The sequence below is a fragment of the Homo sapiens genome, chromosome 2 (assembly GCF_000001405.40).
Source record: "Homo sapiens chromosome 2, GRCh38.p14 Primary Assembly".
NCBI lineage: Eukaryota > Metazoa > Chordata > Mammalia > Primates > Hominidae > Homo > Homo sapiens.
In genome coordinates this window covers 64389882-64414270 of record NC_000002.12, presented here as the reverse complement: position 1 = coordinate 64414270, position 24389 = coordinate 64389882, and the positions used below count along the sequence as shown (strand labels likewise).

Genomic DNA, 24389 nt, shown 5'->3' with positions numbered 1-24389 from the left:
ATCTGTAACTTCAGAAGGACTGCCAGAGTCAGGCTCCAGCCCCAGAGGATGCGTTTCCCTTCAGTGCAAGGGAAATGAAAAGATTCCGTCATATTTAGAAGGGAAAGGCAGGTGATGAAGGAAACTAATCCACAAAAAGATAAACCCTCCAGCCTTTCTTTGGAGTCTGAGGTATCTTCCTTCCTCTGACCAGAAACTGAGAAGGTCTCACAAGGAGTTCTTAAATACAGGTGAACCCCATTTTAAGGCCAGCCAGAGCTAAAAATCATGTAGTATGTGATCTGAACTCAAAATTATTGAACTATTCTACACAGCTGCTTTTGCATGGAAGTGTTTGTTGTTGGCATGACTGCACATCTAATCACCCAGCTAGAAATTTCAAGTCCTCTTCAATTAATGTTGCCTCATCTCTCACACCCAATCAAAATAATTATAAATTCTGTCTGTGCAATCTCATAATCATGTATTAAACTATCTCTTCTTCTTTGCCTCCGTGACTGTGCCCTCAAGTCTTGCATCATTGCTTCCTGGATTCATAATAATGGTCATCACTTATTAATATTCATTGTATGTCAGGAGCTCTGGTAGGCACTTTATATATATTATACCATTTAATTTAAGAACATTCCTGAGAGGTACTTACTCATGTCTCCAATCTACCTATGAGGACAAAGAGGCTTAGGGAGTTTAGACTTTGCCAAGTTACACAGCTTATAGATGGCAGAAGTGGGATGCCAACCTGGATATGTTGATGCCAAAGTCTGTGACACTCTAATATGGCACTCTAATGGTGGCCAGTTGATCCTGCCCTAGACGATTACAGAGGTGTCCTGTGTTCTACTGATGAAATTAGGTGAAGAACTAGAAGTGATTTCAACAGGAAACTGATCCTGCTGCTCTTCAACTATTACCAGAAAGAAAGGCCCAAGAACAACTATTCTAAAAACACAGTAGTCATTTTGGCAGAAGTCTTTGGAATTTAATTAACATGTATCCAACAATACTATGCAACAGGTTGACTCTCAGTTCCTTGTGGGTACATTTTTCACATAATTTATTCTGGCATGACCATTCCTTCATTCAGCTAGTATTTACAGAGCACCTATAGTATTCCAGGCACTCTTCTGGATGCCAGTGATATTGCTGTGAAAAGATGACAAAGTCCCTGTCTTCATGAAGCCTACATTCTAGAAGGAGAAATAGAAAACAGATAACCAGGCAAAGAGATGAATGGCTGTGTATATGCAATGAGTGCTATGTAGGTCATGTATAGGCTGTTATCATAAAGAACGGCAGGGGTGGGGGATACTTAACCTGAGACATGAAGATTGAGAAAGAGACAGCGATGCTACGTGCAGCAGGAGGGAACTTTCAGGCAAACAAATCATGTGTTCAAAGCCTCTGAGCAGTAAAAAGGCTTGGGCTGGTCCAGGTGCTGAAAGAAGTTGAGTGTGATAACAGCATGGTGACTGATGGGGAGAGGAATGTGAGATGACATTGACAAGGTAGACTGAAGCAAGATGCTATAGGGCAAGACTTCGGGTTTTATTCTAAGTGCAATAGGAAGGCACTAAAGGGTTCAAGACAGAAGAGTGCCAAGATAGGATTTGTGTTTTTAAAAATTTGCTCTTGATTCTGTAAGGAGAGGGAATGTATGAGATGGAAGTGGGGAGATCAGTTACAAGGCTTTCACATCCCCTTTACACTTGTAGTGGTTCAAGTGTAATGGGTCTTAAAATTTATATGTTGAAGTTCTAACCCCCAGTACCTCAGAATGTGACTGTATTTGGAGATATAGGGCCTTTAAAAAGGTAAGTGAGGATATCAGGGTTGGCCCTAATGCAGTATGACTGGTCTCCCTGTAAGAAGAGAATATTAGGATGCAGAGAGATGCTCAGAGATGAAGAGATATAGGTGGACCTGAGATATACTTCTGAGGAAGAAGTGACAGATGAATTAAACATGAAGAGTAGGGAAGAAGATGAAATCAAGGGTGACCCCCAGGTATCTCTGGCTTATGCTACTGGGTGGATGGTAGTATCAGTTACTGAAAAGAGGAGGCTGGAGAGGAGCATATTTGGGAAAAGAAATCAAAAGCTCTTGACCTGTTAAACTGGGGATGCCCATTAGGCATGTGAGTGGAGATATGGAGTAGGCAGATGGTGGAAACAAGGCTGAACATCGGGGAAATGTAAGGGCTGGAGATAGAGAGTTGACAGCTGTGCCATGTCATGGTATTGGAAGCCAAGTGAGTGAATGAGCTTATTGAGGAGAAGGGACAGAGAAAAGAGCTGAACATCTTGGAGAAACCCATGTTGAAATCTCTGGCAGAGGAGGAAGAGTCAGGCAAGGAGACTGAGAAGGTGTGACCAGTGAGGTAGGAGAAAACCAGGAGTCTATGGTGTCTGTCAAAATAGAAGCAGGCTTAAAGAACAGGGAAATGGTCAGCTGTGCCAAATGCTGCTGAACAGTTGAGTGGGATGAGGATAGGAGAATATCCCATGGACTCACCAAGGTGGAGGCCATGCTATTCTTGACAAGAGCACCAGGGTGGTGGTTGCTGAGGCTAAAATGAAGTGAATTAGGAATGAATGAGAAGTAACTAAGTGGAGACAAAATGTGTAAGGATCTCTTACTAGACATTTGATTTTGGAGAGGAGCAGAGGAGTGAGGAAACAGCTGGAGAGGTTGAGGAGCCAGGACGACAGAGAGTAAGGAATAGATTGTGTTGCAGGAGAGGGAGGAGAGACCTGAAGGAGTGAAGATCTCCTTTTTGGGAAAGGGGTGAGATCCTTGGAAAGGATCCCTTGGAAAGACTGGGCTTTGCCTGGAGAGGGGACACCTTCTCTGCTATATTAGCACGAAGGAAGGAGATGCTGGTGGGCTTAGGCTTCATCTGATGCCTTCCATTTTCTCAAGGAAACAGGAGGCCATGTCATCAGCTGAGAGGGGGAGAGAGAAGGGAGTTGTTGAGAAAAGAGAAGAAGGCAGGAAACAGCCGGTTCATAAAGTGGTATATTGGTCCAGGTCCTTTAAGAAGCAAATGTCAAGATGGAAATAAGCATGCAAAGATTTTATTAGTGGAACCACCTGTGTGAACAAGTGAGGAGAGAGTCAGAAGAGGCTGGTACAGCTGTCCAACAGTGATGCAAGTCTGACCCTGAGTGAAGGAGAAAAGAAAGGAAGGTTGGATGGAAGCATCCTAGATTGCCATGAAATCTGGGGAAGGTTTGGCAGGATTAATGCAGAGCCAGAGTTCACTGTCAGAGGAGTGCCCTGTTTCCCCTGAATGAGCTTGACTTGTTATCCCTGTTGAGCTCAGCCATTGGCTGCAAGCAGCCTGTGGCAAGGTGGCCTTAGAGTCAACACAGTGATGGCTTTCACAGTACAGTGGCTGGGGACTTTGGTTAATTACACATACACTGCAAGATGCATTCTCACGGCCACCACAGTGAGGAAAGTGAGCTTACTTAGAATAGACATAGTCATGCTACCAGGCAGTGTTGGGCACCCATTTGAAGTTTGCAATTATAATTTGAAAGTGAAAGCCATCTTTCCTTGGAAACTGTGATGCTCAAATTTAAACACTTTGTGAATGCATGATTGAGATTTCAGACTGAATTCCCAGTCTGAACGAATTTCAGGCCAACATCAATGTGATCAATATTCTATGGAGTGAAGATTTGAGACCTTGACTTCTCATATGTTTATTTTCTGGATTGGACCCAGAAATATTCTCTAAGTTTGTTCCTTCTATAGTGCTGCCCCAGTCCGCCTTTGGACAGTGACAGAATCCTTTTGTTCATATGGGAGTCATGGTCAAGTCCTTAATTCTCATAACCTGTGCCTCTCAGCACATGTAGCTTCTGAAAAGTCAATTTTTATAAATACAATTTTTCTGACACCAAAAGTAATATATGTAAAAAATATGAAAACTACACTGTTGGTGACCTGCCCACATTCCTTAACCCACCTGGAAGTCATCTGCAGTTGTGGATGGTTCTGTTATATATGGATGGCTTCCTTTCTCAAGCACCTTTGTCCCCTTCTTGAGGACATTCTCTGGCTATAGGAGCTTTCTTGGCTTGCACATAGGGTGGTTGAAAGTGCCGGGAGTGCTGGGGAGTTAACATTTCCAGAAGTGATCCTTAACAATGGAGGATGAGAGTGGCTGGATAAATATCTTGACCAGCTATCTTGACCCTTGATGGGACTGTTCTGAGATGTGTTTCACAGAGTGTCTCAGAGTTTCCCTCGAGGGATTTAGCTCCAATTGCCAACAGTGGTAACCCATTCATCAGCACATCCCATATTGATCTTCTTTTCTTTCTTCTACTTCTTCACCCCACTTCTAGTGCCTCCTGCAATTATCTCCCAAGCAGCTGCACCCAAATTCTCCTTTCAGGAGTGAGAAGAACCCAAAACTAGCGTAAGCACAAAGCAGTCAAATTATACCACCTAGAAATAGACAGTTAACAGTTTATATTCTTTTATTCTTTCTATTCTTTATCTCTCTCTCTCTCTCTCTCTGTGTGTGTGTGTGTGTGTGTGTGTGTGTGTGTATACATTTGCCATGTTTAAATCCTTCTTTTTTCCCTGTTTAATGCTGTAGATCCTATTTTGTTACTGATTTTTAAAGCTGTAATATTACAGACAATTATCAGGTCATAAAAATTATGATACAGAAAATAATTGTTAATGACTATCTAGTATTTGTTTGGATGTGTGTAAAATTGATTTTGAAGATTACTGATCTGCCTTTAACCAGTAATAGAAAGTTACTCTACTCTAGCTGAGTTCTTTCCAAATAATGTGTCTTCCAACCATGTGTGACCCAACTTTTAGCAAACATTTATGGAGGATTGCCTGCCAGACATGCAGTCTACCCTTAGATAGCGTAGATCTTATTTCCCAGTCCAAATCAGGTGAGTCTACTACTGGGTTGATGTATTTGGCCTCTCTCCCTTTGCCACCTCTTAGTCCTAAGTTGAGGTTTGGAATATCACCTCCAGGAACCCTATGGAATAGCTGTGGAGAACTTAGCATTGTATAGATTGCTGAGAATCTATGAGACTTCCCTTGTGTGAGAATTTGGAGGAAAAATTCACTCAAGCCCCAGAACAAGGAAAAAGAAAGCGCTCACTGAGGAACTGGCTTTCTTTTGTCTTTTGTTCATTGTCATTTTTGTAACTTTTACATTCTCATTTTTGCTTTGTTTCATAAGAAGCTCAGAGCCTAATTCATATTCTATTTTTGGTAATTATATAAGATCAGTGTAAATCACTGGATACTAACTTTCCTTCTATATTAATCTTTTTACTACCCCTTCTTAATTTTCTCCTTAAACTTGGTTTCTCTTCAAATAAAAAAAAAATCTTACATTGGGTAGTGTATTAGTCTGTTCTCATGCTGCTAATAAAGACATACCTGAGACTGGGTAATTTATAAAGGAAAGAGGTTTAATTGACTCACAGTTCCACATGGCTGGGGAAGCCTCACAAACACGGTGGAAGGCAAATGAGGAGCAAAGACACGTCTTACATGGCAGCAGGCAAGAGAGCTTGTGCAGGGGAACTCTCATTTATAAAACCACCAGATCTCATGAGACATATTCACTACCACGAGAAGAGTATGGGGGAAACAGCCCCCATGATTCAATTGTCTCCACCTGGCCCCACCCTTGACATGTGGGGATTATTACAACTCAAGGTGAGATTTGAGTGGGGATACAGCCAAACCATATCAGGTAGACTTTTAAAGTCACCTCAAAAAATATAATGATATGCAGTATGTTTATGGCTTCCTCTTCCCCACCATTCCTTTTCCCCCTCCTGTGGGATGTCAGGGACTTCTGCTTGTTTTGTGGGGAGGAGGACAAGGGTTGTCCTAAACTATTGACACAGGCAGTTTGGATGGGACTTAGCAGTCTCAGGACCCACTGGGCCTCCCTCTGCAATGTGACTACCAGTAGTGCCCAGCCAACTATTGATGGGCAGATTTATCCCATAGAGATGCGAACAGCATCTGCTCAGATGTCAGATCTGCTGCGGAAAAGATGAGAAATGGGCTGCATATGTGGGCATCATTTTTGCACAGTTCCCTGGTACTCAACGCCCAGAGAGCTGGCAGCCTCTCATGCAGACCCCTCCTCCCTATGGCCAGGCCTCCATCTGCACCATCCCCACCCCCATGGTGGAGGAGAAGGAGTGACCCCTGTGGCAGGGAGAAGGTGAAAGTCACCTGCCCATCCCTCTCCCGATGTTCTCTTCTGAGACCTCTTTATTTCCCTAGACCTTTGCCTGTTGGTTCTCAAAAGCATCATTTGGAAGTAAGAGGTAAACCCAACTGAATATTAACTATCATTTTTATTTTTTTATTTATACAAGTTTATGGGGCACGTGTGAAACTTTGTTACATGTATTTAATGTGTAGTGATCAAGTCAGAGAATTTATTGCGTCCATCATCTGAGTACAATACATTTTTGTCAACTATAATCACCCTACTCTGTTATCATGCATTTAATTTATTCCTTCTGTCTTATTACATATTTGTACCCTTTAACCCACTTTTCTTCATGGCCAAATAGTATTTCATTGTGTATATATGACACATTTTCTTTATCCGTTCATCTGTTGATGGACACTTGGGTTGATTCCATATCATTGCTATTGTGAATAGTGCTGCAGTAAACGTGGGAGTGCAGGTATTCCTTTGATATATTGATTTCTTTTCCTTTGGGTAGATACCCAGTAATGGGATTGCTGGATTGAATGGTAGTTCTATTTTTAGTTTTTTGAGAAGTCTCCATACTGTTTCTTATAGTGGCTGTACTAGTTTACATTGCCACCATAGTGTATAAGAGTTCTCTTTTCTCTGCATCCTTGCCAAGATCTGTTATTTGCTGTCTTTTTAATGATAGCCATTCTGACTATGGTAAGATGATATCTCATTGTGGTTTTGATTTGCATTTTTCTGATGATTAGTGATAGTGAGCATTTTTTCATATACCTGTTGGTCATTCGTATGTCTCCTTTTGAGAAATATCTATTCACATTCTTTGCCTACTTTTTAATGGGATTGTTTTTTCTTTTTCCTCTTGAGTTGTTTTAGTTCCTTGCATATTCTAGATATTAGTTCCCTGTCAGATGAATGGCTTGCAAATATTTTCTCTCATCTACAGATTGTCTCTTCAGTATGTTAATTATTTCTTTTGCTGTGCGGAAGCCTTTTAGTTTAATTAAGTCCCATTTGTCTATTTTTGTTTTTGTTTTTGTTGCCTGTGTTCTCTTTATATTTCTGCTAAGAGAATCATAATTCTCCTGGGCAATGTATAGGCCTCTGACTCCCCTGACTGTACAGGGGAGAAGTGATAGAGGAAGAAAAGCACAATAACTGATCTAGGTTTGTATGGGTGAAATATACGCATATATGTGTACTTAAAGTATATAGAGAGAGACTATTTAGATGTTTGAATTTCTCTTATAGCTATCTATATGTGTATATGTGTGTCTGTAGCTCCCAGATCTGATCATATCATGCCCAGCCTTAAAAGCCTTCCATAGTTCCTTCTTGCTTACTATAGGATAAAGTCCAAACTTTCCTTGGCATGGCCTCCATGCCCTCTGTCCTCTCCACCCTCCAGCACCAAGCTTCCCTCCAATCAGCCACCTCCCTTCCCCCACCCTCAGGCTCCCATCATGAGCACCACTCCCTGGCCTTCCCATGAACCCTGCCCTTTCCCAGCTCTCAGCTCTACAGAGGCTGCTCACTCTGACTGCACGCCTCCCCCACTTCTTCTCCATAGTTGCCTGCCTGCCTTGGAAAGTTCTATTCATTCATCTCAAATGAACGTTCACTGTCCCTTCTGAGCTAAGCTATGCCTTCTTGAAATGGCAGTGCCTAGCACAGTGCAACCTACCAAAAAATGCCAAGCGAATTCTCAAGGACCCAAGGCTGAGTCAGGAGTGCCCTCCTTCCCGGCTGCCCGCAGAGCTCCTGGCTCACTATCCCTCCACAAGAGCTCAGCCCAGGTGTGTGCTGTTCATGGCATGCCTGCCTCTCTCATGACAGCCCTCAAGGCACCACTCGTGTCTCTCTCCTCCAGAAGGGCATTTTCAGCACCCTGTGCAGGGCCTGACACATGGTTGCTACCTAGTGTATGTTTGAATGAATTATAGATCGCTAGCATGGGACAGATACGCTGGAAGCAGAGAAACTGAAAGCAAAATGTTGGAGGTATTGCCCAAGAAGCAATAATCAGGACCAGTGACAAAGCCTCCCCCACACGTGAGGACTAGTTCACTGAGGAAAATGAAATTTTTTTGCAATGACTTGAACATCACCACAGCTCTTGAGGAAGGCCAAGGTTGTTTGTTTTTGGGTCCTCCCCCGTTGCTGTGGATGATGTGTGGTTATGATGGTGCAGCCAAGACAGTGGCAGCAGGCATGGAGGCCAGCCTGAGGGAAACCTCCAGAATGCCCTGCCTCCCAAACCTGAGCAGAGCCCATCTGCTTCCCCTCTACACATCTGTTGCAGCAGGAAATCCAAAGCCATGTTTCTGATTTGCCACTTCTGTTAGCCATTAGACTCTTGGCTGGTTTCTGGTCTTCCTGACTGTCAGATCTGGCTTCGGGCCTGGTGACCCGGCATATCCCTTTAAGATTGCAACAGGGTCAACGGCTATTGTCATTGACTACTCTCTTTATTATCATATTTCCAAGGACTTCCTATTCCTTCTTCCCTTGTATGAAATTTCTAACATCCATCGGTACAAAACCCAGGAGGGCAGGTATTTTGGCCTGTTTTATCTACTGTCATAGCCCAATGGCTGTGATGAACAATAGCAGGTACAGTGGATGCCTTTGACGCAGGGCAGGCAAGCTCCAAAGTGGAGCTTAGCCCACTGGGTTCTTGGCTTTGCCCAGTGAAGAATTCAAGGGCAAGCTGGAGACAGAAGAAAACAGCTTTATTATTATTATCATTATTTTACTATTATTATTATTATTTGAGATGGAGTCTCGCTCTGTTGCCCAGGCTGGAGTGCAGTGGTGCAATCTCAGCTCACTGCAACCTCCGCCTCCCGGGTTCAAGAGGTGTTACAGTTCCATGACTGCTCCTGTAGAGCAGGACTACTGTGTAGGGAGAGAGTAGCCGTTCAGGGCCATTCTGCAGTCATATTTACACGCACTTTAATTGCATGCAGATAAAGGAACAGTTTATGCAGCAATTTCTAGGGAAGGGATAGTAACTTTTGGGTCATTGGGTCATTGCCATGGAAAAGGGTGGTAACGCCCACATGTTGCTATGGCAACGGTGAATTGACCCGGCACACTAGTGGGCGTGTCTGATTGAAAGCGGCTTTCTCTGGGGCCGTTTTAGCTAGTCCTCAATCTGGTCCCGTGTCCAAGTGTCCAAGCCATGCCTCTGGAGTTGAGTGCCACCTCCTACCTCACCTTGTTGAATAGAAAATGAATGAGTGACAGTATGAATGAATGGACACCTGTTAAAAGAGCCATCTATTACAGCTAAATGAATGAAGGGCATAGACAGTCCTTTGGTTGTTTTTCCAACTAGAAATCTCTCCCTGTGTTCTGTGATGGCCTAAGTCTGGCCCTGCTCAAGTGAGGGACTTCCTCGATGGGCTGGTCTCATTCTTGTGCCCTCCAGGACAGCAGGGCAGAGGGAGAGGGAAATGGGAGGGGCTGAGGGACAACGTGGCTCTTCTGGGAGCCTCTTTACCCTGTGAAATTTCCTCTGGCAGCTTTCCCCCTTGGCCTGCAGCCTGTGCCGGCCCCTGCCCCCAACTCATTGGCTTTGGTTACAGGGACAGGCCCAGAGTCAAGAACAATAAAGGGAGGAGGGGCCTGCTTCACAGGGTCAGGGGTCAGGGAGGGGGTTTGAAGGGTGAGGAGATTGGCTCTGTGTAGCATCCGGTTTCAAACAACTCTGTTTAGAAATAGAAGAGAAGCCCTCCGGAAAATGGAAGGGCTCTGGCAGGCCTCCCAGCTGGCCAAGGAACAGCAAGTTCCTGCCAATATGTGACGGAAGTGGGGGATTTGTGGGGAGGGAGGAGGGAAGAGGGCACTGGAGGGAGTAGACACAACCTAGCAACATTTTCCCTGCTAAAAACCTTGCTCTGAAGTAAACATGGAGGGTTCTTATTCTTCCTGGCTGTGTGCACTCGGGCCAGCCTACTTCCTGTGGGCGCAATTATTCCCAGGGGTGTGTGTTTTCGTTTTTAAAGACAGAGAATTATAAGCTATTCATGGTCACTGCCTGAGAATTCTTTGGAATAATGAGATAGAAAAATCATCTCTACTGTTCACATTTCTGAGGAAGAACAAGCCTTCTAGACTCTCTCCTAGGATGGGGCTGGGAAACTCACTTTTTCTCCTGCTAAGCTCCTTCTCAGTCCATTAGAGCCAGAGGGCCAATAGGGGCCTCTTCGTGCTTTGTAGGCTAGAGGGTGTAAAGAACCTAGATGTGCAGGAAATCTGCTCTGGCTGATCAGGCAGGTGAACTCGGGGAGGGAGAGCTCTAAGGGAGGACCAAATGAGACAGTGGAGATGGCGGCTCGGCTTCAGCTCACCCCTGCTGGAGCATTCTTAGTGATCACAAAACCCACACTACTGCCTCGCTGATACCATAATGTGCAACCATGCCTTTTACTTTACAAATTTCAGGCACTGGCCTTTGGAGATAACAAGGTTGTGAAGTGTCCCACTTCGGGAAGGAATGCTAACAATTGAGTTACCGCCTTGTTGCCACTGACCAGAGCATCAGGTGGTCCATTACTCAAGATAACCGTGGCAACCAGATATGCTGACCCTCATCCCCTACCCTCAGGTGCTTTGCCCAGCCCACCCTGTATACCTCATGCCCCATGTTAATTCCTGCGCTTTGCCTAATAAAAAAGCAGGGCTCTTTTGGGGGAGTAAGTCAGGGAATTCTCTCTCTGTCTCTGTCTCTGTCTCTCTCTCTCTCTCTCTCGCTGCCTCTTTTATGTCCAGGCATAAGCTCCAGTGAAGCCTTGTTTGGAAAAACTCTTTGGGCCTTGTGTGAATTTCTATTGCATTGAGAGCCCAAGAATCATGGTTGGTAATGTGAGGGGCCTTATTGAGGGGGGGCAAGTCATTCCACATTTTCCAAATGAGACCGAAGTGGATACACAGACTAACAATAACTGCAGTGACTCATTCTCCTTTCCAGAACCTCAACTCACAGCTGTCCCCAGTGGCTTTGTGGCATTTCACAACAGTTTTGACTTTAGAACCTCTCTCACCTTGGCCCCCACTCCAGAGCCAAAGGAACCCCCACATCTCAGGAAGTAGGTTATGAATCTGGGATACCCTGGAAGCCCAGATGCAAAACCCATATTAGGGAGGAGGAAATGGGGAAAATGAATGTTTTTTAAAGCCACCTTCTACACAAGCCTCCCCAAGAAGGGTGGATCATCTTTGCTGCTATAGGAACTCTTATTCATTGCTGGTGGAGGGTCCAAAGAGATAATGTTAAAGTATTGATTTGAGCTGAAGGAGTGAATTATGCTAATAATTAGATTATTAATCCTTTTACAAATCTAACACTATCCAATTATTTTAACAAAGATGAAGGAGAAACTAATGAGTGTTCCATAATATCAGTATTGGACAACGTAGCTTTAGAGCTTTATGGTCACAGAAAAGGAAAAAAAATTGAATTTGTATACATTTTAAGAGAAATGATAAGGCGATTAATAAATGACTTTGATCATAAATGTATATTATATCAGGATAAAGTTCTTTAGGGAAAGAGGAGTGGAAATACAAACTCAAGGAGAAAAAAGGAATAATGTAAAATTTCTGACTGTTAAAGAAGAGCTTGTTCGTGATTTTTTTTAAAAAAATGGAACATATTAAATTGCTAAAACATTCCAATTCTATTTTGATACATTTAAATAGTGGCTTATAGTTATTCCAAAATGTTTAACTGTTAAAATGTTAAAAGATTTCAAATTTACAGTAAAATGTAACATTTTTCAGCTATTTAAACTCAAAATGAGATTTAAAATACCAACACAAAAATTTTAAGGCATCCCTTCAGAGTAGAGGAGGAAAAAAAAACTGTCAAAGGGGATATATAATGTTCCAACATTATTTTAGGGGACATGCAATGCAAGCAAAATACTTGAAGACTCCTGAGCTGGACAGCATTTGTGTTCTTTTCAACTCTTTGGATTTTGTGGATGGGGTCTAAGAGGTTACTCTGGTGAGTGGGCACTGCAAAGAGCAGGACACCTATCTCCAAATGTAAAGGTTCACTTACAACCAAGTCTCCAAACAAAACAAAGTAGAAACAAGCCAACAAATAAAACCCACCATCTCCTTCTCTTATACACACACACACACACACACACACAGAGCAGACCCCCCAAGCCCCCCAGTAGTTGTTCCAGTATAGGCCGTTCATCAACCTGTGAAAACATGAGCTTCGTTAGCAACAGGGCATGGTCTGATCCCTGGGAAATCTCTGGAGCTGGGAGTGGCCTCAAAGAGGATCATTAAAGATCAAAAACCCCACTTGAAGTTGTTTGTTCTGCTGCAGTGTAAATCCTCTTGGCTGAGCAGCCCTTGACAGAGTCTGCTGCCTAAACAGAAGTCTTAGACGGGTGTTTGGTTTGTTTTCTGTGGAAATCAAGGCAAAGGTCTGAGTTCCACATCTGAGTGCAGACCCAGGACAGTGTACACGGGATGGCAAAGTGACTCAAACTGAAAGAACTCAGTGGAAGCAGAAACTAGGAGCCAGAGGTGAGAACATAAGCCTCCCCACCCCCAAATGGAGAATATGGAGACATCCTGGGGACAGTGGCCTTTCCAGGCACGTAGAGGGTTCATGAGCTTGCATTTTGTCATGCATGAGGAGCCCAGCTTGCTTATATTCAGCTCTGCGTGGATTCCTCGTGCTGTTGTCCTACTCCAGGTGTCAGGAATAGCTCAGCCCTTCCCAGAGGCAGCAAGAGAGCAAGAAGGACAGAGGAGACTGAGCTGGCAGGTCTCTAAATGACCTCAAGTCACCACAGCCACTGGTGCTGAAGGAAATGGGAAAATAGTCTCGTGACCCAGCGAGTGCTTCCCATGCAGGTGAGCGCTGACAGTGGGAGACAGGGGTGTATCATCCTGGCAAGAGAGCAGAGGGGAGAGGAGAGGACTCCTCATGCTGTGGGAGCTGGAATCCTGGCTTGGCTGCCCTGAGTCAGCCTTCAATAGCCAGAGCCAGACCTCCCCTTCCTAGCAGGGCCCTGCCCAGATCAGGTGGCCGGGAGGGGCTGTTGCTCAGCCCTAATCCTGGGATCAACCCCAGGAAGTGGTAGCAGGACCCAGGTGGCCTTGGACCATTTCAAAGACTGGCATCAGATGTTTATCAGCTAGTATTTGTACAAGGCCCAGGCTGAGGATGCATAAGAGACTGTGAAAAATGTCAGGAAAGCGAAAACAGCTTTCTGTAAATAGGGCTCAGACCCTGGGCAAGGTGCTATGTCTCCCCTTGGGGCTTTGGTGAAGGAAAACGCAAACATTAATCCAGAGTGAGAGAAAGAAACAGACACCACCTTGTAGGAAGATGGAGGACTGACTCCAGGAAACTCCAAGAGACGGGATGCAAAGAGAGGCAGGGTCTGTGTTTTACTTTTTCTTTGAATGTTCTGCAGTCTGTCATCTCTGGAGGCCTCAGAACCTGGTGTCACATTACAGGGTGAATGCCAGGGACAAGCTAAAGAGAGGTAAGAACCCACAGCAGTGTTAATGGCCACTGTGGGAGAATTCTGGAGATCTTACACTATAAGGGACAGGGAAACATTCATACATTTAATAAACATTAAATCTCTGATAAAAACCTATAAAACCAATCATTTTCAACTTGTATTTTAATGTAACTCACATGACCTTTACCTACATGACTCACCCCTATGCACATTGCGAGATTTGGCCACAACTGTCAAATTTGTTTGCAATTCCCAGCTCCCAAACCCTAACTTCACCTCTTCCTCTCTAGCTTAGGAGGAAAGAAAGAATGCATGTAAGTAAGAGCATTGTTATTATAGGGTGACCTTGAATTGCTCTAATTCATTAAAACGGTGAATTCTTTGCAAAATTGAGAGATGAAGTGAGGCTGCATCTCTTTTATGTGTCCTGTGAGTTTGGCTCTAGCCTCATCTCCCCTCTGGCAAGAATGGCTTTCTCTCTTTCCCAGGGTCATTTCCCTGTGATGAGCCCAAGAAGTCCAGGTTACCAGGATGCTTATGAGAAAGCCAAGGGTCAGTCCTTGTCTCCTGGGCTACTGGAACCATCTCAGATGCATGCCTGGAGGCTGTGGGGCTCCTCAGCCCCTGCCATGCCCAGGGGGTCCCAGACCGCTGCCAGAGGCAGAGGGACTGGGGCTTGGACAGCCAGGAAAGTCCTTCCACACACTGTAGCTGCAGTTGAAATTCCACAGCCCCATTTGAGCCCCAGAGCTTGTCCTGGTCACTCTCACCTCCTCTACACTCCTGATGCTGGGACTTCCTTTGCTGCTGATCATGGAGTTTGTGGCTAGCTCTGGTCACAGCTAGCAGCCATGGTATATATCCTACTGACAATTGTCCTTTCAGCACAAGACACGGCAATCCCTGCCTTCTTTCAATGCTATGCTCAGCTAAGGAGCTGCCACTCAAATGGAATGGCAGAGCCACTTACCCAGGGCATGATCTGCCTATGAGAGCATGTGGGGACTGATCTCATGCCTACCCCTCACAGACTGAGGACCACAGTCTCCTTCTTCCCCTACCTTCCATACCCCAAGCCCACACCCAGTTCCTAACCCAGAATGGGTGACATGTCTTTCAAGGAGGTAAGCTCCTCTGAGTTACCTTAGAAACAAAGTCCTTGGAAGCCACCTTGCAGACAAAGGGTTGTGACTTAATTTTTGAGAACTGCTGAACTTGAAGCTGGGCCCTCAGCAGAAATGTCTTCTCTGTCTCAAACCATGCCCATTTCTGAAACTACCCCCTATCTCTTTCACAGGGGACCCTGCTGCACCGGTAGCCATTCTCCCACATCAGCTGTGAATATCAGCTGTGGGTCGTGTTAGGGTTCTATTAGCTGCTGCAACAGATTGAATCCCAATTTCAATGACTTAACACATTGGAAGTCTATTTATCACTCAAATAAGATTCCAATGTCAGATTCCTAGTCAGTGAGGGTCTTTTGTCATGTGGTGATTGAGGGGCACAGGCTATTTCCCTTGTGTGGTTCTTTCATCCTATGGCCTAAAAGTTCTCCACCTCCAACTGGCAGATATGGAGAAGTCACAGCTCCTTCTCCTCCTCCACTTCCTCCTCCTCTTCCTCCTCCTCTTGCTCCTCCTCTTCTTTCTTCTTCAACTATTGTAAAATATACATAGCATAAAATGTCCCATTTTAACCATTTTAAGTGTACAGTTCAGTGGCATTAAGTACATTGACACTGTTTTGCAACTATCACCACCATCCATCTCCAGAACTCTTTCATCTTTCCAAACTGAAACTCAGCACTCATTAAACAACATGAAATCCCCACTTCCCTCCTTCCCTCAGCTCCTGGAAACCACCACTTTACTCTCTGTTTCTATGAATTTGACTGTCTTAGGTACCTCATATAAGTGGAATTATATAATATTTGTCCTTTTGTGACTGGCTTATTTCATTTAGTGTAATGTCTTCAAGGTTTATCCATGTTGTAGAAGGTGTCAGAATTTCCTTCCATTGCAGTATACACCATACTTTGTTTAGTTATTCATCCATGATGGACACCCAAGTTGCTTCTATCTTTTGGCAAGTCACACCCTCTTCTTAACCATCTTGACCTGCAAGTGACACCTGTCTCTTCTGATCACATTCCACAGGAGAAGGTATGACATAGCTCCACCTACATGCAAGGGGAGCCAGGAAGTGCAATCCCTGGCTGGGCTGCCACGTCTCAGAAACCATTAAGCCTATGGAAGGTAAGGCACAATTTGTTGGTGGACAACTAGCTGTTCCTACCACCCCTTCGCCTTTGCACTTCCTGCAACAGCTACTCACAGTGGCCCAGAAAAAAAAATGTCTTTCTTTTTCTAGTTTCAGTTCCCAACAGGACAAATATTTTCAGACCTAAATACTTTCAATAAATAGTTATAGCTCTGTAATCCCAGCACTTTGGGAGGCCGAGGCGGGTGGATCACCTGAGGTTAGGAGTTCGAGACCAGCCTGGCCAAAATGGCAAAACCCCTTCTCTACTAAAAAAATAAAAATAAAAATAAAAAAAATTAGCCAGGCATGTTGGTGCACGCTTGTAATCCCAGCTACTCGGGAGGCTGAGGCAGGAGAATCGCTTGAACCCAGGAAGTGGAGGTTGTGGTGAGCCGAGACTGTGCCATTGCATTCCAGCCTGGGCGACAGAGTGAGACTCCATCTCAAAAAAAAAAAAAAAAAGAAAGAAAGAAAGAAAGAAGAAAAAGAAAAAGAAAAATGTATAGCTAACATTTTTGTAGATGTTCGCAATTTCCAACGTCCTTTTCATATTGAATGGTGGTACAACTTCTGATTCTGTCTCTGTCACTTTCTCACTGGATGATATTTGTAGAGCCCATAGCTCTACAGTGAATTCAATAAAGAGTAGTTATTAATCTCCACAGGAACATGAGGTATGTAGTATTTCCCCATTTGTATAGATGAGGATATTGTACCTCAGAGAGATTAAGCAATTTGCTCTAAGTTACCTAGCTCAAAATTGTGAACCCCACCTCTCTGTCTCCACCTCTCTTGTGGGGAACCATCATCATAGGTTTAAAAAGTAACCTTGATGTCCCTCAAAAAAACCTTGGAGCTCCCAAACCTCACTCTGCCTTTGGTGAATGACCTTTTGCACCAGAGCTGGTGGACCCAAGCTGTGACCCATCAGACAATTTGGTAAGGGAGGGAGAAGAGGTCCGGTCACTTAGGAGCCTGTCTTTTGTACTCGACCCCAGGGAGCTGCCCAGGACCCCCTTGAAGAATATCTTCCACTGTTGCAGCCACTTCCTGACAACATTCATGCACCCCCTTCCATGTTCTAGGGCCCAGGGATATACAGGAATATAAAGTAATCACTCCTCTCCAAAGAGTGTATCATCCAACCAGTGAGACACATATGAGCAAATAGCTCTCATGATGAGTGATATAGAGACACATTCAAGTGCTATGGGAATTTGCATGAGGGGCAATTAATTTTGCCTGACATGTGGCAAGCTACAGCAAGAAGGTGACAACTGAGCTGGGTGAAGATGGTGAGGAGAGGATTGAGGGAGGGCTACTTCAGGTAGAAGGAACAACAAAGTCTCAATGGTGTCAAAGTGCATGGGGTGTTTGAGGATGAAGAGGAGGTACAGTGAGGGCAAAGCATGGATGGAGATGGGGTGGGGAAGAGACTGAAGAAGAGGAGGGGTGGGTGGGGCAAGGATGAAGGGCCAGGATTCTGCAGATGAGGCAAGGAGATTATTAACTGGGGGCTAATCGGATTAGAGCCATCTTTTACAAAGCTTCCTCTGGCTAGGGCGAACAATGGGAAGCAAACTAATTCACCCATTTTATTCTAGCCCCTTCATTCTCAGAGGGCAGGACCACCCTAGCCATCTTGAGGCCACTCCTGATGCCACATAACAGGCTTACTCTAGGCAAAGGCCTGAAGAGAGACCACCTGAGGACATTGGTTCTCCCACAGTAACACTCTCCTTTAGTCTGGAGATTATGAAGGACTCCTGATAGACTTTCTCTCCTCTTTTTGGCTTGTAAACTAGGCCAAGCCCCCGAGTTGGGTATCTGGAAGGCAGGGTCTCTATTTGACACTTGCCAAGACAGAATTGAAGTGTGGGGATGCCAGGACCACTGTGGTGTCTCCCCGATCCTATGGACTGAGTGTGCGGGAAGAGGCGTGGGGAGACAGGGAAAGAAGGCAGGGGAAGTGATAGCAGAGTGGCGTCAGAACCCAGTCCAGCCCCCCATGACAGGAAATCACTGGCACCCCACTCACCTGCTGGCTTCCCACTTCCCATTGCCCTGACAGCAGAATGGACACCCAGACAGGTTTTTCTAAGTAATTTACAAATAGACCCGGAAAACAGAGGAGTTCTCTGCATGTAATAAGAAATCAAAACCTGAAGAGAACAGTTGCCCTGCCCAAGAAGCCAAAGGTAGCAGTGCCCCTTCTCTCATGCTGTGGGCCAGACACACTCCATCTGGGGAAGCCCTTGGGAGTTCTGGTCCTCCCCATGTGGACATGAGCAGGCCCGAGTTTAATGCCCAGCCCTCACCTGTGTGACTTTGGGTGACATTAATCTCTCTAAGCTTTAGCTCCATTATCTGAAAAATGCCACACAGGCTGTTATGATTAAATAATAGCACTTAAATGTGGACATCCTATCCTTGACCCTAGGGACCATGGGGATGTACAGTATTGCAGTGTGCATGCTTCCAAGGGCAGGGACCCTGGGCCTTGTGTGCCGCATTCACCAGGCTTTGCCTGCCCTGAGCTCAGGGATGTGAAAAGGAGCTTATCTCAAACCACTGAAAGTTCTTTCTTCTTACTTTTCCTCCAGGTCTCTGGATTTGATGGCAAATGGCAGCAGAAATGTGGAAAAGATCAAAGTGATGTCAAGGTTGATCTCTGAGTTTGGCATGGCTGAACTCAAACATCATTTGCCATGGACCCACAGTGTCTTCAGTAGCTGAGTGTGGTGTCATTCCCCTATGATATGTGCACTCAATTGCTGGCCAGTTTTTGTTTTTTGTTTTTGAGAGAGTCTCGCTTTGTCTCCTAGGCTGGAGTGCAGTGGCACGATCTCGGCTCACTGCAACCTCCGCCTCCCGGGTTCAAGTGATTTTCCTGCCTCAGCCTCCCGAGTAGCTGAGATTACAGGCATGTGCCAGCAGGCCCGGCTAATTTTTTTTGTAATTTTAGTAGAGACGGGGTTTTGCCATGTTGGCCAGGCTGGTCTCGAGCTCCTGGCCTCAAGTGATCCACCTGCCTCCACCTCCCAAAGTGCTGGGATTACAGGTGTGAGCCACTGTACCTGGCCCCAAAGTTTTAGAAATTGGATCATTTTAAATGTTGGAGGGGAGTTCATTGTTTAGGATGGCTGTGTGGCAAATCTTTTTTTAAAGTAAGTAATTCTCCTCTATTATAAGTCACCTCCTGATCTCTACATTTAAGGTTTGCTGTCCTGGATGTGTTCACCTATGAATGTAAGTGTGCTGAGATACACAGTGCAAGGCTGAAGTCAGAGTACACCACTGATGAACCCCTGGGAACTGGTAACCCAGCCAGGGAATGAACATCTTTTATGAATCAGTTTATCCACCAAACACTTGCAGAGAGCCTATCCCATGCCACCCCTGAGGGCACGGTGATGGAGAAGATATGCTTCCTGCCTCCAAGAACCCCATAGTCTAGTGGCAGAGACAAGCAGGTACATAGCTGCCTATAGTACAGCATCACAGGTGCCATAACATTGTGTAAACTGGGAATAATTCTATTCTCTGGATATAGAACATCTAACCAAGATATTGAGTATCTGGCTTCCCCTTCCCCACACTGGCCCTCACTGGGATCCATGTCTAATATTATGAAAGTCACACAATATCATTATAAACTAATCATAAATGGCACTGTCAGTTTGCTACAAAAACTTATTCAGAAAATATTCAGATTCTCCCATCAACATATGCCGCTATGTTGGCAAAAGCTCTGATTTAAAATACTTATTTCGTTTTCCTCTCCGATTTTGTTCTAGTCTTCAAAATGATTTCATACAACATAGCACTGAGTTCCTTAGTTCCTCTGACCCCTGCCAGATCTGAAGCTGTGATGTTCAAAAGTCAGGGCAGAGTCCATCTTATGATTGAGTTTCATAAGAGTCTAAGCCACTGATCAACATACTGTGGCAGAGTAAGCTTTCTGGGTTCCAGAATTTATTGTGAGTGGGCTGAGGGAGTTGAGAAATGGCATGGGAGGCCTAAAGAGAAAATAACTTTTGAATGAAAATTATAGGAAAGTGGATTTGAGATCAAAACAAAGGAAGGTTGATCATAGTTGGAATCATTTAAGATTGGTGGGGGTAGTGGGCTTCTGGTTCTTAACCCAGGCCAGGCAGAGGTGTGACAACAGTCAGGGGTTTCTAAACAGGGTGGGAGGTTAGATGAGAATAGCCTTCAACCCTTTGTGTTGAACTAAAATCCTAGCTCTGCTTTCAACTCCTAGACTCTGCTTCATCATTGCTAAGTTGGAAAGAGCAAGCAATTGAGAGTCCCTGCTGGCCACAGCTGGGGTGCCCCAGACCACAGCACTGAGCCTCAAAGGCAAGTGAGCATAGTGTTGGGAGCTGGGCTTCTGGATCCATCAACTCCATCTGATGACTCGGAAGTTCCTTCAGTTCCCAACACTGGAGTCCAGCAAGGCTGGTTTGTCTTGTTTTAATTATTATTTAGATGACTGTTTGGCTCATACCTGAGCAAGGTTCAAATCAAGTCAGACCTGTTAATTTAATCAAAGTTATATAATCACATTTGGGCACTTAAATGTAAACCAATTATGTTGGAAGCCAAGTATCTTGTACTCAGGAGGGAGTTCTAATAAGTGCTGGGAATGTATGCTAATGCACAAAGCCTAACCCCCAGAGTGGAGGGTGGAGCACTCCAGGGCACTCCTGTTTCGGTGACGTTGTTTTAATAGCTAGTGCTCTGGGTGCAGTCTGGGAAGATATTGGAAACATCTCAAGCAAGTATGACATCCATTTTACCCAAGCCCATGGAACCCATTATGTTTGGAACATGTCTGTCTGTGGCATTTGGCTTGGCTTATAAATGCACTATCAGAATCTATAGGAGGCCTTCGCAACAAGACGTGTCTTGGCCTTTCTGGTTATCAGCAATCCCTCCACCTCTCTCTTAACAAACATATGCCATAAGTCCTGATCAGGCATTTAGTTTTTTCACTTGGACCTTTTCCTAGTTCCTAGTCTCAACCCCAATGCCTCCTAATCTTGTACTTCTTCAAATACTGGCCCCCCTCTACTATGAGAGAGAGAGGAAAGTAGGGAGGAGAAGGAGGAAAAGTTATTGAGTTGATATGAGGGTAGTCAACCTAAAGCAACAATCAGGAGTAAGGTACTGGACTTGAGTTTGAAGTGTTTGTCACTAAACTCTCTCAAACTCTTCCAGGCTAACTAGCCTCAGAGGGCTTCTAGCCCATAGTCTCCTTGTATTTTCTGCCCTCCTCACTTGGAGTGGGAGGGAACCAGATGTCCAGTCTTTGTCCCGTGTTAAGAACTGGCCTGGCAGGCTTTGTTGAGACCATCCAGACTTGAAAGCCTCACAACCAGATGCCATCACAGGCACTTTCTGCTCTTAACCTTTGTCTGTGTCTCCTACATGAACTCATCAGACTGCCTCTGAAGAGGGACATTCTAGGGACAGTTTCATCTTCATCACCATCCTGGATAGGGAACCCTTCCAGACTCAGAGTTGCAAAAGTCAGGGAGGGGCTGCTCACTGGAGGTGGAGTCCTTTGGCCAGGTTTCACTGTAAACACATGGCTAAAATGTGTCGCACATGGACAGGCATGCTAGTGTGCTCTGGATACATGCTAGTGTGCCCCAGATATATGCTAGTGTGCCCCGTATAGCTTCTGGCTAAAGGACACACCTCAGCAAGGCCAAATGAGGCATCAGGATGAACTCTTCAAATAGACTTCATTAGACCCACAGAAGACTAACCTTTGCCTGACTTTGGATTACCCCTTTCTTGCCAGGAATTATGTTCAATGACTATATCTGGAACTAGAGGTCTTGATAGCCACACTTTGCTTGGTGTGGCTTCTCAGTCTTTTAAGGACATGGCTATCAAGGGCTCATGTTTATTCCAGGTCAGCCCTTTACCCCTTTCCTCCAGGGGCATCTATGGCAACAAAAGACCATGACATCTGGCAGGGCTGGCAGGACTATTTAGTTTAGGCAGGAATGTGGGTGTTAGCATGTCAGAGTACATCTGAGAAAACATTCCAAACCAACCTTTCCACACTGGGAACTCAACCCCCAGGAATCACCAAAGATAAGGGCAACAGTCTTATCTCTCGAGGGAAGTTCAGGGTAAAGTCCACTCCTGCTGTGGACCAGAGCTCAGGGAAGAAGAAAGCTCAGGCTGGCTCTGCCTGTCCACTTGATGAACTTCCACAAATGCCACTCTGGGAGCTGAGGCATATGAAGTGGGGAAGAAAATACCAGCCCTGCCCTGGAGCTCTGGGATGGTGGCTGTACACCCCTAAAGATGCCAGCAGATCTGAACTGTGGCCTATGTGTGTTTGGGAATTGAGAAATAAGGAGATAGAGGGACAGCAGGCAGGAAAAACTACAATTAGTCTCAGCTCACACAGATTTGGGAGTATGCAGATCTGAATTGTGGCCTCCATGTGTTTGGCTGAAGGATAATGATCTCAGGCCCAGACTTTTTTTTTTTTTTGTATCACTCGCTCAGGGGGCTCTGACCAGGAGCTTCTTTCAGATGACACAGATCCCGAGGAGCCACTTGCCTTCTACCCATGACACTTCTAAGAGTGACTCTTGCCATGTGACCATAGAGATAAGTGAAGTTTTCTCCAATGACATCATTAAGAAGTCTAAACTTCCCCAAAGGGAGAGGCTGTGACTAGGAACACAAATGTCTCAGTGTATCACACTCATGCTCCCAGATCTGTGGGCAGAAAAAGAAATCATAGAATGGTGCATATCCTAAAAATAAAAAGGAAATTGCTTTTCAAGTTATGAAATTTGGCCCTTCTCATTGTGAGTTTAAAGTACATGTTACTGCTTCAGTTTCTAAAACAGGAGGTGGCCAAATTCAGAGTTTAAAATGTCTAAGTGGTTATTTGAAAACAGATATTTAGAGGCAACTGAGAGAAGAATACTGGGGCCATGGGTCTGCAGTCACTTTCCCAGCAGTGCTCTGAGGCCTTGGGTCTCATAAAAGGTAATCATAGTTACGCCTTTTAAAGAAAGCTGAGTCTAACTGTAGCTTTTCCTGCCTGTTGTCCCTCTATCTCCTTACTTCCCAATTCTATCTATCTTTCAAAACCCAGCTCAAATCCCACCTCCTTCCATAAGTCTTCCATTGTTTAATATAGTTGGAATTTACCTCTCCCTCCTCTAACTCCCATGGCATTTTATTTACACCTCTCTGATGGCCACTTTCTACTTTCTATAAGGTAAGTTATATACTTGTTTTATATCAATAAATTTCAAAATATTGAAATCTTACAGAGTATGTTCTCTAACCACAATGAAATTAGATCATATATTAAACTACCTAGATAATCCTACATATTTAGAAATTAAATAACACATTTATAAATAACCATGGATCAAAGGAGACATTTTAGGGGAATTAGAAAATATTCAGATTGAGGGATAATGAAAATTCAATATTATATTTCAAAATTTGTGGGGTGCAGGTAGAGCAGTGCTTAGAGGGAAATTAATAGCTCTAATGTGTTAGTATTAGAAAAAGAAGGAAGGTTTAAAATTAGTTATCCAAATTTCCATTTTTAAATGTAGAACAAAAAGAAAAGTAAACCCAAAGAAAGAAGGAAATAATAAGTATAAAAGCAGAAGTCAGTATATTGGAAAACAAGCTGCAGGGATTTTTAACTCAGTCAAAAATTGGTTCTTTGAAAAGATTCATAAAATTGGTAAGCCTCTAACAAGATCGATCAATTAAAAAAGAGAGAAAATACACCTTACTAATATAGGGATGAAAGAGAGGATATCATTACCAATCTTACAGGTTATAATGATAATTCAGAAATGCTATGAACAACTTTATGGCAATGAAGTTGATAATTTATGTGAAATGAACAAATTCCTTGAAAAACACAACTTATCAAAATCAAAACAGGAAGAAATAGATAATCCAAATAACCCATATTTCATAAAGAAGTTGAATTAACTATAAAAAATATTCCACAAAGAAAACTCCAAGGCTCTATGATTTCACTTGTAAATTCTATCAAAAATTTAAGGGAAAAAATACAAATCTTGCATAAACTCTTTCAAAAAGAGAGAAGAAGGGAAACTTTCATTTTATAAAGTCAGCATAACTTTCATACTAAGACCTGACAAAGACATTTGAAGAAATGAAAATTACAGACAAATATACTTGTGAACATAGACACAAGAATCCTTAACAAAATATTAGCAAATAGAATTCAGAAATACACAAAAATGATAATACATCATGACCAAGTAAGGTTTACCTCAGGAATGTAAAGTTGGTTTAACATTTGAAAATCTGTCAATGTAATTCACAATATTAATGGAATAAAGGAGAAAAAC

At 44.0% G+C, this 24389-nt stretch overlaps 1 long non-coding RNA gene across 6 annotated transcripts in view, besides 1 other annotated feature; it reads left to right on the top strand.

Moving 5' to 3' along the window:
* LGALSL-DT (LGALSL divergent transcript) overlaps positions 1-23315 on the top strand; it is a 63923-nt gene extending 40608 nt beyond the window's left edge. For 2 of the 6 annotated variants that reach the window (XR_002959392.2, XR_001739494.3), the window contains exons 2-3: positions 15897-15995; positions 18606-23315. This is a non-coding gene — a long non-coding RNA (LGALSL divergent transcript). Of the gene's footprint in view, positions 1-5691; positions 13759-15896; positions 15996-18605 lie in introns of those variants that run through there. The other 4 variants (XR_001739493.3, XR_001739492.3, XR_001739491.3 and 1 more) reach the window with 4 other exon arrangements.
* Positions 9579-10088: an enhancer, noted in NCBI's record as "H3K27ac-H3K4me1 hESC enhancer chr2:64631317-64631826 (GRCh37/hg19 assembly coordinates)". NCBI's record gives its function as "activates a minimal SCP1, AML or CMV promoter by ChIP-STARR-seq in naive H9 embryonic stem cells {active_cell/tissue: H9 hESC(naive)}" and the evidence as "EXISTENCE:reporter gene assay evidence [ECO:0000049][PMID:30033119]".
* Positions 23316-24389: the final 1074 nt, after the last annotated feature.